The sequence below is a fragment of the Homo sapiens genome, chromosome 18 (assembly GCF_000001405.40).
Source record: "Homo sapiens chromosome 18, GRCh38.p14 Primary Assembly".
Lineage (NCBI taxonomy): Eukaryota > Metazoa > Chordata > Mammalia > Primates > Hominidae > Homo > Homo sapiens.
This window is the reverse complement of record NC_000018.10, coordinates 77,127,844-77,141,614: the sequence shown is the minus strand read 5'-3', so window position 1 is coordinate 77,141,614 and position 13,771 is coordinate 77,127,844. Positions and strand designations below refer to the sequence as shown.

Sequence of the window (13,771 nt, the reverse complement as noted above, 5' to 3'; positions counted from 1 at the left end):
ATTTCTGGTAATTTTGAAAAGTAAACGTATGTGAGGAAGACCCCATGTCCCTGAGTGGATGCTCACCCTCTCGGGCTGTGGACCTGGCCCCGTGTCCCTGAGTGGACGCTCACCCTCTAGGGGTTGTGGACCTGGTTCTTGTCCCTGAGTGGACGCTCACCCTCTTGGGCTGTGGACCTGGCCTCATGTCCCTGAGTGGATGCTCACCTTCTCAGGCTGTGGACCTGGCCCCGTGTCCCTGAGCATCATGTTGTGAGGATGAAATCATGGAAGTCTCTAAAACACTTACAACATAGTAAATGCCATGTGTTGTTCAACTATTTTGACTTCAGTCTTCCATTTCCATCAAAGAAAATAATGAAAAGGATTCAATTAAACATAAGAGGAGAGTGTTTTGGGGAGACACCATCCTGTGTTAATGAAAGCAGCAGAGCTGGAGGGAGAGGGTAGTTAATCCAGTCTGTGGGCATTAGAGACATGCTCCCCTCTCTCCTGTACTCTGAGGGAGTAACCAGGGTAGTTTACAGTCACTTGCAATTCCTTTTAGCTGATAAACTGTGCTTCTCTGAGCCAGACTGGGTCACATGGGGCCTGACCATCACTTGGGTGCTGTACTGAAGCCCTACTACAGGCCCGCCTGCCAGAGGGATTGACAAGGCAGAAGTCAGCAGGAAGGGCGAGGCCCCTGCCTGTGTGGAGCTCACGTGCTAATGCAGGAGGCTGAGAGTGTGGAGCATAGCCAGTAAATAAGCAGGAAGGTGCCAGGTCATATTGTCAGTGCAGTGCAGAGATGACACAGTGACGTGAGACACTGATGAGACGGCTGCTTCCAAACATGAGGCCAGGATAGGTCTCACTAGGAGAGGACTTTTTTAAATTGTGGTAAAATACACACACTCTAAAATCAATCCTCATAAGCACGTCTAGGTGCACACAGCTCAGTGGCATTAGCAATTTCACATCCTCCTGCAGCCATCAGCTCCTTCCACACCCAGAACTCTCCTTGTCTTACAAAAGAGAAACTCTGTGCCCCTTGAAGGAGGAAGGGACTTCTAAGTAGAGGCCCAAATGACTAGAAAAATGGGCCAGTGTTGGGGGCTTTTGGGGAAGAGAAAACAGCTCAGCAGACACAGGGGAGGCAGAAACACGGGAGGCAAGCATGAGACACAGAGGGTGTATCGGAGGGGGCTCTGAGGGGCACGGCCAAGCCAGGGAAGGTGTATAGATTTTCTTCTAAAGGCCATGGTGTATTAGTCTGTTCTCATGCTGCTAATAAAAACATCACCAAGACTGGGCAATTTATAAAGGAAGGAGCTTTAATGGACTCATGAACTCACAGTTACACATGGCTGGGGAGGCCTCACAGTCATGACGGAAGGCAAAGGAGAAGCAAAGGCAAGTCTTACATGGCGGTAGGCAAGACAGCTTGTGCAGGGGAACTGCCTTTTATAAAACCATCATATCTCATGAGACTTATTCACTATCATGAGAACAGTAAGGGGGAACCGCCCCTGTGATTCAATTCTCTCCACCTCGTCCTGGCCTTGACACATGGGGATTTTAACATTCAAGGTGAGATTTGGGTGCGGACACAGCCAAACCATATCACATGGGAAGCACTGCAGGACTTCAAGTGAGGGATGTGGCATGACCAACGCAGGGCTAAAGAACCCATCTCTCCATGGTGTGGACTGAAACAGCCACTGCAGCCTGGGGAGCCTCAGGGCAGCTTGGGCGAGGTGAAGAACGGACATGCAGAGAACAAGGAAGTTTGGGGGACAGCGTGACAGGATGTGTCAACAGATCAGGTACATGGGGGTGCAAAGCATCTGGGACAATTCCTAGGTTCAGGGTTTGAGCCCTGGATGGTCAGGGAGATCATTCCTGGAGACAACTAGAATGCTGGCTCGGAGAAGGTGGAGAGGCAGGGCCAGGAAAGATGGATCTCCATTCTGCCTGGGAGACATGGCTCCTTGGTGAACTGCAATGTCAGACCTAGGATACAGTGTCATAGAGAAATTTAACATTAAAAAAAACTGGAGTAGTGTAGACTGCTTTTCTCCATGTAAACCTGACCACACATTATGTTACCATAAAGTTAAAAACGGCCGGGCACAGTGGCTCATGCCTGTAATCCCAGCACTTTGGGAGGCCAAGGCGAGTGGATCACTTGAGGTCAGGAGTTCAAGACCAGCCTGGACAACATGGTAAAACCCCATCTGTACTAAAAAAAAAATACAAAAATTAGCCAGGCATGGTAGCACACGCCTGTAGTCCCAGCTACTCGGGAGGCTGAGGCACAAGAATCGCTTAAGCCCAGGAGGTGGAGGTTGCAGTGAGCCGAGATCACGTCACTGCACTCCTGCCTGGAAGAAAGAGCAAGACTCTGTCTCAAAAAAAAAAAAAAAAAAAAAAAAAGCTAAAATCACTGGTTATATGATATAATCCATGCTCAATGAGGCTGTATATTAATTTGCATTTATTTTAATAAGCTGTGGCACACGTCCTTCTGCAAATAGAGAAGCAAATGTATTTTCCTAACCAGATGAATTTCTAAAATTTTTGTTTTTGATTGCTGTAAGAACAGTTACATATAAATGTTCAGTCCCAGAAACAGTAACAATAAAGATATCCGGAATAACCGAACACCATGCTGGCATCTTTCACTTGCACCCATTACTACTGGATACTTTAATAGATAATACAGTACAAAGCCAAAAAGAGAGTTCACTTCAGTAAAAAACTACTGAGTTTCATTTATCTTGTACAATTTAGCCAAAAGCTTTAAATACTAAGTCAGTTTCCCATAACTCCTGATTACCAAACACACTTGAAAATATTAGTGTGTCCTCAAGGCTTATGATATTTGCTAACTGTCAAATAATCACCTAATCCCGTTTCACTTGAGCTATGGAGAAACGAAGTTGCAGAAAAATATGAAATGCTTAATCCAAGAAGAGACATAAATATATGGCCGGGAGAGACCAACCGGAGGAGCTCAGTCTCCTAACCTTTTTGTTTTTTTTTTTTTTTGGTACAGAGTCTGGTATGCAGCCAGAATGCCTGCTGCCCACGCCAGACTCTAGCCCTTTCTTGCAACAAATCCAGCAAATATTTATCCAGGGCCTCCTGTGTGCCAGGCACTCTTCTGAGTGCTTGAAGTAGCTAAGCGGTGGCCCCATGCCTGTCCTTGAGGAGCTCACAGTGTCGCTGATACCCTCAGGGGGTCACTACCCTGTGCAGCATGGAGAATCCGTGAGCTCCTCTGAAGGCCGCTCACCGTGAGGACTTCACGGCTCATGCACCAGGCTCCTAAAACAGTGCAGGGAATGAGAGAAGCGCCCCTGGGTCTCACTAATGACTATGGGTTTCCCTAGTGCTTTCTCTGCTGGAATCTCCCCCGCCCCACTTCTCTGCTCTCCCCAGAGCCATCCACATGCTCACCGGCCCACGTCCTCTGGTTAGTGCCCTCCTTGGCCTCAAACCTCTCCTTCCTCAAGGGCAGCCCTGAAGCTCCTTGGCAGGAGCCCGCTCCAAAACGGCCTGGCCCCAGCTGATGTCTCCAAGCTGCTGTTCGGTCTCTGATGTTCTCGGACGTTCAGACTCTCTTTGTCACACATTTTGTGCTCCAAAAACCCCATGGTTCCTCAGCACATCATGTTTCTGAGACTTTGCTGGCTGGTGCTTCCACCTGGCACACCTTCAATGCCCCTTCTGCCCCTCTCCACCTGGCATTTCCCCCAGGACACCTCGAAAGACACCCTCAGGGTCTTCCTGACTTCCGGGCAGGGCTCATGGGCCACCCTCTGGGTCTTCCAGTTCCCCTCAAACTGCTATTGTTGCCAGCCCTTGCAACTGGCCTTAACACGACCACTGGCCCAAATATCTCTGTGACCAGCTCCTGGGCCCCCAAGGCCCAGTGCTAGGCATATGTCAGGAGTGTAGCACACGTTCGCAAGGCACTAAATGACAAGATTCAGGCCAAGGTCTTCTGGGAAGGAAGTAGCAGATGACACCCTCTCAGGGTGGTTTTGGGGTCTTAACTGTGGGAGGAAGAACCAGGCACAGGCAGCAGGGGGTGGGTCTCTCCTGTGGGGTGGCCTGACACTGTCCCCCGGGGTTTGTGAACCTGGAGGGCGCTAGGAGCCTGCAGGTGGGGAGAGGAGGCCAGGTGTTGCCCTGGGCTGTCTGGGCACAGCTTCAGAGAGGAGGTTTGGGTGGTTGGAGCCATGGATGGGAACCAGCAGAGGCCCTGACTTCTGACCCCTGACCTCACTCCCCACAATGGCTCCCAAGGCCTTGCCCTGTGGTCCTCCTCAGTCTCCTCTGCTCACCTTCCTCCCACACCTCATGACTTTTGTGGCCAAGTTGCTTGATTTCCACTTTAACTAAAGGCTTTGTAGAGTGAACGCGCGGACGCCCGTTTTTCCCCCTGGAGGGATTGGCTCTCGTTGCCTGGCCCTGCTGTAACAGAAAGTCACCATCTGGGAGGCTTCACAACAGAAATGTAGCTTCTCAGTCTGGAGGCCAGGAGTATGAAATCCAGGTGTGGCCAGCGCTGTGCTCCTGCCAGGGGCTGCAGGGGAGGGTCCCTCCGTGCCTCTCCCAGCTTCTGCTGCCCCCAGCATCCCTCAGCTCCGGGATGTATGACTCTCACTTCTGCCTCTGTCTCCATGTGGCCTCTTCCCTCTGAGTGTCCCCTCTGCTTACAAGGACATGGCCACCGCACCGGACCCCCCCAAGGACCTCATCTCCACCTGATGACACTAGCAAAGGCTATTTCAAAGCACAGTCACTTTCCCAGGTATTAGGTGGTCAGGACTTCGAGTTCTCTCTTCGGGGACACAGTTCAACCCTTAACAGTGAACTTTCACTGTAGAAACACAGTTTTTCCACCTTTGAGGACAAACTCCAGAGAAAGGAAGCCTGGTACAGGAAGAACGTGGAGGCAGGAGGGGCACCGTGGAGGCAGGTCTGGGTCAGAAGTGGGAGGTCCCCAAAGCCAGGGCCAAGCCCTCCTGGTTCCCACTCACCCTGCCTCTGAGCCCCTCCCTCCAGGGCCCGTCTCCCTCCCTCAGAGCTGGCTGCTGACCCCACCCCTGCAACAGGGCCGCTGTCTCCTCACAGCCTTTCCTGGCTCCCTCTGGGGTCTGCCATGGCTCCCATGCACATTCACACTGTGCATGCTCTGGACTTCCCGGCAACCCTCCCGTCCTCTCGGGCTGCTTCCTGGGGCTGGTTATTAAGATGTCACATTTAATCCCCTTGTTATAGGAGCATCAAATGTAGCACAAAGTCCAGCACACACACAACCCCCACCCACCCCACAGACCTGGCTAAGGCTCTCCTATCCCTCACTCTATTCCTGCCCAGTCCAGCTCCTTCCCAGCTCCTGGGGAGGCTGGCACTCATTCCACCACCCCCCGCAGGGAACTCTGTTAACTAGATTGGAAGCTGAGTATTCATTCCTTTTTTTCCCTATGTCTTAATCTAACCCTCTATTAAGGACTGCACATCTATCCCCCCAAAATTCATATGTCAAAGCCGCAACCCCCAGGGAATGGTATTTGGACATGGGGTCTTTGAAAGATAGTTCGGCTTAGATTGAATCCGTGAGGGTGGCCTCACAATGGGATTAGTGTCTTTATAAGAAAAAGAGGCCACAGCCCAGTCTCCTCCCCTTCCTCTTTCTCTCCCTCCACCACCCGACACACATAGAGAAGGTGCTGTTTATGAATCAAGAAGCAAGCTCTCGCCCAACGCCAAGTCCGCCAGCACCTGCATCTTGGACTTCCAGGCTCCAGAGCTGGCATAACATCTGTTTTTAAGCCATCCAGTCTGTGGTATTTTGTTATAGCAGCTGAGCTGACTAATACACCCTCACGTGGGAAGTAAGCCCCACTGGCGAGGTTGTGAATATATATTGCAACAGAGCGAATAGATGTAACGTCTGAAGAGCCAGCCCAGAATTCCTCTGAAGTACCACTTGTTTGGAAACAACTGTGATCAACCCCTGGATGAATGAGGGAGACCTCCACACCTGGGTATCCACCGATGCCTGAGCTGCAGAAAGAGAGTGTTCAGCCCTGATATGAGGATGACTATTACCTCCACACTGCAGATGAAGAGACTGAGGCTCAGAGAGGTTTAGACCAGGTCTGAAAATCATATTCAGTCCTGGCCGGGCGTGGTGGCTCAGGCCTGTAATCCCAGGACTTTGGGAGACCCAGGCAGGTGGATCACCTGAGGTCAGCGGTTCGAGAACAGCCTGGCCAACGTGGTGAAACCCCATCTCTACTAAAAATACAAAAATTAGCTGGGCATGGTAGCGGTTGCCTATAATCCCAGCTACTCGGGAGGCTGAGGCAGGAGAATTGCCTGAACCTGGGAGGCGGAGGTTGCAGTGAGCTGAGATTGCACCATTGCACTCCAGCCTGGGCCACAGAGCAAGACTCCATCTAAAAAAAAAAAAGAAAGAAAAAAAAAAGTTCAGTCCTTTCCTAAGCAAAACATCATAACAAAGACAAATCTGTTGATGAGGAAACTAAAGAAAACTCAAAGTTCGTGCAGTCTGAGGTCTGTTGGAAACTATTTAGATTCATTTACTTCCTTTAGCTTGGGTAATTTGGAGTTTAATTCAGCTTAACAAAAATTTATTGAGTGTATTTCATGCACAAAACATTTTGCTATTTGCTGCCATATGAGATGATGGATAGGTCAAACTTTCTGCTCTCCGGTACCTTGTGAAAGATGGGGGTAACTGCAATGTGATTTTCTTAGAAATGTCAAAGACACAATGAGGCTTTGATGGGTTACTTGTCAAAAGATGCCTTTCAATTTTATTCAGCACAACGAATCTCTGTCACTTTGCTGAGGGCTACATGGACATCTTCATGTGAAAGTTTGTCTCTCGACAGTGAAATGCCAGCCTCTGTTTCTTCCATCCACTGTCCTCAACCTGGGGTCCTTTTTCTAACCGGGAGGGCATGAAAGCCCCCAAGATAAGACCAGTTGATCCAAATGTGAATCCACTGTTTTATTAAATAGTATTATCTACATGTTTTCTTTGAAGAATCCATGACTTTTCTAAACTGCCTGGCTGCCCATCTGTGTGGACACTCTATCCCAACAAAATATGCACGGTGAAATTTCATAAATACTTTAAAAAGACTTTTAACTGGAACTTGTGGAGCCTGACATTTGTAGGGCTGACTGTTGGCATATGTAGTGTTTCAGGAAACCACTGTAACACCAGCAGAAGGAGCACCAAACAGAAGGCCGCGTGTGCAGCTGTCACTGTGGCCTGAGGGACGCTCCAGAGCCCAGCACACAGGGACATCTGCAGGCAGGAAGGTGGCCCCGCCCTGTGGAGTCACTGAGATAAAGCCAAGAGATATTTTGGGGAGGAAAAGCTGTTTCTGATGCTAAAGCAGGTATCTAAAATGGGACCCATTTTAGTGTTCCAGCTTCCCCAGCCTGAGCTTTGAGTGACTTGAGCTGGGACCTGGGTGCACCCGGGTTCATTGTCACCACCCGTGCTCCTAGGGCAGCTGTCCAGCCTCCCACGCCCACTCCGCTCATCCTTGACTTAAAGTGAGGTTGTGGGGCAGAAAAATTGGAGAAACACACTATCTTTGGCACCCTTTTCCCTCCTCACCTTCAGCCTCAAAGTCTCAGAACCCTCCTGCCCCCTCCACTTGAAAATCTCTCCTGAGGAAACGACCAGACTGAATGCTTTTGCGTCGTTGTGGAAGTATTTCTCTTCCAGTTGCCAGCATTTGAAGACAGTTGCTAAATCCTCCGGGGCTTTGGGGGAGGCTGGTTTTAGGCCGAAACCCCGACCCCGTGCTGAAGTCTGAGTCCCGCCTCCCAGCGCGGGCCGGGACAGCGCTCACCCCTCTCCCTCACTTCCTAACAAACTGTGTGGGTCCCAGGCTGCTCCAGGTCCCCTGGAAGCTCCAGATCCAGATCCCTGACTGGGGGTGTAGGTCAGGAGGAACGCGGGGCCTCATTCTGGGACTCCCCCAACCTCCTCCTCTTCCACCATCAGGAGGCTGAGAATCCAGAGAAAGATCTCTGACCACTAAATCTGTGTGCAGGTGAGTCACGGCTAAACAGCAGGCTTTTTCTTTTTAACAAGACAGCGACGAAGACCACGATGTCTCTGGGCTGCAGGACCAGGCTGCTTCCTCGCACCTGCGCGTGTTTTGCTGTCTTTTCCGCGCACGCTTCCTGCGCCGGTCCTGCAGGAGAAGGTGCGCCCCTAGCTCCCAGCTCCCAGCTCCCAGCTCCCAGAGGAGCACCTGCCAGCCGGACATGGGCCTGGCCTGGGCTCCAGGGGAGGGAGGGAGTGCCTTGGGAGGACCTGCCGGCTCCTTTCGCCTCCAGGCCGGGCTGACTCTCCTCCTGCAGGGCCGGGGCTGCGCCAAGTCTATCGGCAGTTTCTGGGGTTTCCAGCCCCTGAGGACGCGGGGAGATGCGGCCTGGCACCCCTCCCGCGAGGTCGAGGTCGGGGTCGGGGTGGGTTCGGAGGCCAAGCCTCCGAACGGGAAGGGTCGACGGGCCGCAGTTCGGAGCCCAGTTCGGCAGCGGGCGAGGCTCCAGGCCGCCCCTCCGAGGTCTGACCCTGCGCGTGGGCCCCGTGCGCCCCCCAAGTTCCGCGTGGGCAGAGCGGGCCCGGGGTCCTCCGAGCTCCCGGGGCGGCGCCGGCGGCCGCGTCCAGGTGGGGCGGGCCCGGCGGGATCGGCCTGTGTTTACCTGGCTCGCAGGAAGCCCGGGGAGGCGGGGCCGGGGAGCTGGGTGCGCGCCCGTCCCTCGGAGCCGCCGCCGTCAGTCACCGCCGCCGCGCGCCAGAGAGAAGCAGCCTCCGGCCCCGGCGGCCCCTGTCTCCCGACCCCGGAAGGCGAAGCAGGCTGCCCGGGGACCCCGCGCGTGGGCGCTTGAAGCCGAGACCAGCCTGCCCGGGCCTGGGCAGGCGGAGCAGGGCCTTGGACCCCGCGGCGCCCCTCGGCCTCGGAGCAACGAGCGCAGCGCCGGTGGGTGACCCTCGGGGACGGGCGGGCTGCTCTGCCGCCTTTGTCTCTGTGCCCCTCCGAGTGGGGACCGCGGAGACCTGGGCGGGACCCCGGACCGGAGCCCCGCGGGAGCCGGGGGCGCAAGATCGGGGACAGGAGCTATCCCGACGCCCGGACTCCGGGTCCCTTTCTTGGCTGGGGACGCGCAGGGAGAACCTAGGCAGCGGAGCAGGTGGCCGAGCAGGTAGCAGCCGGCGGCCTCCCTGACCCGAACCCAAGTCGCCGCCCCCGATCCCCATTGCGCGGGGGCTGGGCGCGGGTGTAGACGCGGGTTTACAGCGCCGGGGCCCGACCCTGACAGGTGTCCAGGGGTGGACTCCAGCCAGGCCCGGCGGTCCCAGGGTCGCTGAAACCGCTCGGCCTCGGGCCGTGGGGCTGAGGGGAGGAGTCTAGGGTGGGAGGGGACGGCGGTCAAAAGCGGCCACTCTGGGCGGGTGTGGAGAGGGTGCTGGCTGCCAGGGCGGGCTGGGGGGTCCTCCCGGCTCGCGGCGCCTGCTAATCACACCCCGGGGGCCCCGCGCGCGATCGCGCTCCTGCCCCTGCCCCCGGGGCGAAGCGCAGTCTCCCTCTGAGCTCCAGGGGCGGCCAGGAGAGCCCGGGTCCGGGCTTCCGCCTTCGCAGGGCCTGTCTCGGGCTCTTCGGCCGGGCCCGTCGCTGCGCCCACCTGGGCCCACGTGCGCCGCCCGCAGCCGCCCGCCGGCCCGCCCGGGTCTTCCCGGCAGTCCCCTCCTGGGCCCCACTGCCTGTCCTGGGCCGGGTGCGTCCGTTTTCCGTGGCCCCCGAGGCCGGGGTGTGTGACCTGCGGTCATTTGCCGCCACACTAGATTTTCCGGGGTGCTGGGGGCAGCGCCTTGTGTCCTTTCGCGTCCACCTGAGCCCCCCCGTTTTGGAAGGTGGAGTGGGGCTTGGGAAAAGGTTCAAGCGTCTTTGGGGACCCCCGTGCGACTCTGGCTGGAAACAGGCGAGCTCTGGTTCCTTGTTCCGTTTTCCAATTGCAACAACGTGAGAATCAACAAGTGCTCGGTTTCTCTGCGCGTGGGTGAGGGGCGCGTGGGCTCGCTGGGTGCTGGGGTGGGGAGGGGGCGTGGACTTCGTTCCGGGGAGGCCTCTGCCTCGTCTGACCACAGAACGCCCCGCCTGGAAAGAGAGTTTTTCAGAGGAAGGAAACGTCAGGGAACTCCAGTGTGTGTTTTGGACATTTTATCTGGCGAAGCTCCGGGGGACAGTTTAAGGACGGTCACCCTCAAGTCAGGGGACCGTATGGATTGAGCAGGTCCCGCACTGAGCTCCCTGGCGGCCACCTCCAGTGATGAGCACCTCCTTAGCGGTTGGGGCCGGGGCTGTGGTCACGGCTGAGAGCCTGGAACCCAGCCGCCCTTCAGTGGAGGAAGGCCAGGGGAAGGGTACCGCGGCAGAGGGGGTGTGTGTGTGTGTGTGTGTGTGTGTGTGTGTGTGCGCGTGCGTGCGCGCGTGTGTGTGTTTTGTTTTTTGAGGTTTTGTTTTTTTTTTTTTTTTGTGGGAAAAACAGAAATCTGAGGGAAAAGAACACAGTTAAAAATTGCTGTAAATGCTGGAGTAACTCCCAGGGAGTTAACTGTTCTGAAACAACCACTTCTACTAACTCCGGGTTAAACAAAGCTATTTTGTTCAAATCCTCTTTGAAAATCCTCCAGAAGTATCACAGTTCTGCCCAAAGATAAGAAAGTGTAAGACACGTCGCTTGTTTTACACCTGGTAGCTCATGGCTCCTCCATGATTTAAAACGTCGGGTTTGAGTTTGGTCAGTGGTGGTCCTAGCTGTGTGCGCTGATTAAAGGTAGCCACGAAACGCTGGGGAAAAAAGAAAAAAAAAAAACAAGAGACCAAACTTTCTTGTGATGTTTCTATTTCTGCCTGAATTTGTAAATGTTAATTGTAAGTTATTTTGTTTGACTTTTAATCCTCCTCCAAGTTCTTTAAAAATATGACATGCTTAAGATGAGCAGCTGCCTCTGTGCCTTTTCTGTCGCCTGGGAGTGTTTATCGACTGCTTGCACGTTGCCAGACTCTCTTTTGAGAGCGGTTTGTCACCTCGGATAACAGTCGGGACGGCCCTAGGATGCCCTCACTGGATGTCACCATCCTATTCATATCTTCATTTTTTACTGTTGAGGAAACAAGGCCCAGAGAGGTTAAGTTACTCTAAGGGCACACAAGAAGAGGCGGGATTCCATCCGGGGAGTCTGCACCAGCGCCTGACTGCTGCTCTGCACCGCCGTGGTGAGAAGGATGCCTTGCAAAGGTGCTCCTCGTTCCTCCTTTTAAAATTCCACCCCAATGATGAGTGAGTGTACCCAGAGATGTCCCACACAGGTTTCCTTTCAAGAATGATTTCACCATAAGGCTACTGTCATCCGTCTTTGTTCATCATCTTCTCCTTAGCTTTCTTAGTTGTCAATAAAAAAGAAAAGAAAATATTCTAATTACTCCTTTTCTTTTTCTTTTTTTTTTTTTTGACAGAGTCTTGCTCTGTCACCCAGGCTGGAGTGCAGTGGTGCAATCTCGGCTCACTGCAACCTCCACCTTCTGGATCCAAAACAGTCTCCTGCCTCAGCCTCCCCAGTAGCTGGGACTATAGGGGCGCACCACCACACCTGGCTGATTTTTGCGTTTTTTTGTTTGTTTTTGTTTTTTAGTAAAGATGGGGCCTCACCATGTTGGCCAGGCTGGTCTCAAACTCCTGACCTCAAGTGATCCACCCACCTCGGCCTCCCAAAGTGCTGGGATTACAGGCATGAGCCACCGCGCCTGGCCTCTAATTACTCTTGGGATAATTTTAAATAAGTGGCCATTAAGTAGTAAGACACTTCTGTTGGCCCATTGGAACCCGTGAAGGAAGCTCTGGAGCTGTTTAAGGGAAGAGTGCTCATGCCACAGGCCCTAATGCCAGCTGAGCAGAAATGCCAGGCGAGTAGCTGGAATAGTCTCTACAGGAGATTTTAAATCTCTGTCAAAACCTGTAGTGGACAGGCTTCATCCAGAGAAACAGAAGCAGGTGGAGATACACATTAGAGACTCATGGCAAGGAATGGCTTATGCAGAGGTGGGCTGGCCAGGTTTGTGGGACGTCTGTAGGACAGGCCAGCCAGAAGGCAGCTGATCTCCCCGGCCGACTGAAGCTGCCTTCCACAGCAACATCTCCCACATGCCAGCAACAACCACGAGTGCATGTTCCAAAGCTATTAGTAATGTCTCACACTCAATAGCCATTAAAGCGTAAAAATGTCATTCCGAATGTTCTTTTGTTCTGGACTCTGTGAATAGCACTGCGTTGGTCTGAGTCACCATTGTGAAAAATAGGTGGATATCTAAAAGATGAGGAGAAACAGACCTATGTGAGGCCAGGATCTAGAATACAGAAACAGTTCTAAAATGTGGTAATTTGAAACAAGCCACTCAAGAGTAAAATATGAGACTAATGAGAAAACCCAGATGGACTGATAAAATAAGAAAAGGACTTTAACCCTCTGGGAATCAGGGAATTCAAAACTAAGATGGCAAAAAGATTTTTTTTTACCTTTACGGTACTGGAAAAAAATTTAAATTGTGACTATACCAAATATTAGAGAAGGTGTAGAAAACTTAGACCTCACATGAGTTCGACTAGAATGTAAATAGGAACAAAGATGTTAGAGAATAATCTAGAAAAAGTGAAGGTGGGTGTATCCTAAGATCTAACAATTCCACTTCTAGGTATCTCCTCTAGGGAAAACCTGGTCTGTGTGCATAAGACACACACAGTGGATATTCACTGAAGCAATGTAGTAAAACCCTGTTTTGAGATCATGTAGATTCACATGCAATTCCCTTCACCAGTTTCTCCCAACAATAACATCTTACAAAACCATAGTACAATGCCACAACTAGAAAATGAGCATTGATACAACCCATTAACTTTGTTCAGATTTCAGATTCCACCAGTTTACATGTACTCATTTTATAGACTGCTCTGTGTGTGTGTGTGTGTGTGTGTGTGTGTGGTATGCACGTGCGCTTAGTTCTCTGTAATTTTATCACCCATGTAGAACCATGTGACCACCAACACATCAGAGGACAGGAGAGTTTCATCACAGGATCCTTGATGCTACTCTTTATAGCCAAGCTGACTTCCTCCTTCCCCCTCCCTGAGGCTGGCAACCACAGTATGGTTCCTATTTTCTATAATTTTGTCGCTTTAAGAATGCTCTATAAATGGAATCATACACTATGCAACCTTTCGAGACTGGCTTTTTCCGCTAAACGCAATTCCCTTGAGACCCATCCGGGTTGGCAAGCATGTCCATAGGTGTTTCTTTTTAATTACTTAGTGGTGTTCCGTCATCTGGATGAACCAAGGTGTGTTCAACCGTTCACCCAGGAAGGGCACTTGGATTATTTCCAGGTTTTGGTTATTGCAAATAGAGCTGCTGTGAACATTCTTGTACAGGTTTTTGTGTGAACATAGTTTTCATTTCTCTGGGATAAATGCCCAGGAGTGCAATTGCTGAGTCATATGGTTAGCACATGTCTAATTTTATGAGAAACTGCTAACTCTTTTCCAGAATGGCTACACCATTTTGCATTCCCACCGGCGGTGTGTGAGTGATTCAGGACCTTCCCAGCCTGGGCAGCATTTGGTATTGCCACTATTTTTTTTTTTTATTATTTTAGCTCTTCTA

The 13,771-nt window shown here is 52.3% G+C and overlaps 1 protein-coding gene across 18 annotated transcripts in view, besides 4 other annotated features; it reads left to right on the top strand.

Moving 5' to 3' along the window:
* The first annotated feature begins 7,906 nt into the window (after positions 1 to 7,906).
* MBP (myelin basic protein) overlaps positions 7,907 to 13,771 on the top strand; it is a 154,876-nt gene continuing 149,011 nt past the window's right edge. For 10 of the 18 annotated variants that reach the window (XM_047437532.1, NM_001025101.2, XM_047437530.1 and 7 more), the window contains exon 1: positions 8,832 to 9,035. The gene's annotated coding sequence lies outside the window, so the exon portion shown is untranslated. Of the gene's footprint in view, positions 8,100 to 8,831; positions 13,256 to 13,771 lie in introns of those variants that run through there. The other 8 variants (XM_047437533.1, XM_047437523.1, XM_047437528.1 and 5 more) reach the window with 7 other exon arrangements.
* Positions 8,568 to 9,867: a silencer, noted in NCBI's record as "silent region_9564". NCBI's record gives its function as "represses an Ori minimal core promoter by ATAC-STARR-seq in GM12878 lymphoblastoid cells {active_cell/tissue: GM12878}" and the evidence as "EXISTENCE:reporter gene assay evidence [ECO:0000049][PMID:35858748]".
* Positions 13,458 to 13,517: an enhancer, noted in NCBI's record as "active region_13533". NCBI's record gives its function as "activates an Ori minimal core promoter by ATAC-STARR-seq in GM12878 lymphoblastoid cells {active_cell/tissue: GM12878}" and the evidence as "EXISTENCE:reporter gene assay evidence [ECO:0000049][PMID:35858748]".
* Positions 13,608 to 13,667: an enhancer, noted in NCBI's record as "active region_13532". NCBI's record gives its function as "activates an Ori minimal core promoter by ATAC-STARR-seq in GM12878 lymphoblastoid cells {active_cell/tissue: GM12878}" and the evidence as "EXISTENCE:reporter gene assay evidence [ECO:0000049][PMID:35858748]".
* Positions 13,688 to 13,737: an enhancer, noted in NCBI's record as "active region_13531". NCBI's record gives its function as "activates an Ori minimal core promoter by ATAC-STARR-seq in GM12878 lymphoblastoid cells {active_cell/tissue: GM12878}" and the evidence as "EXISTENCE:reporter gene assay evidence [ECO:0000049][PMID:35858748]".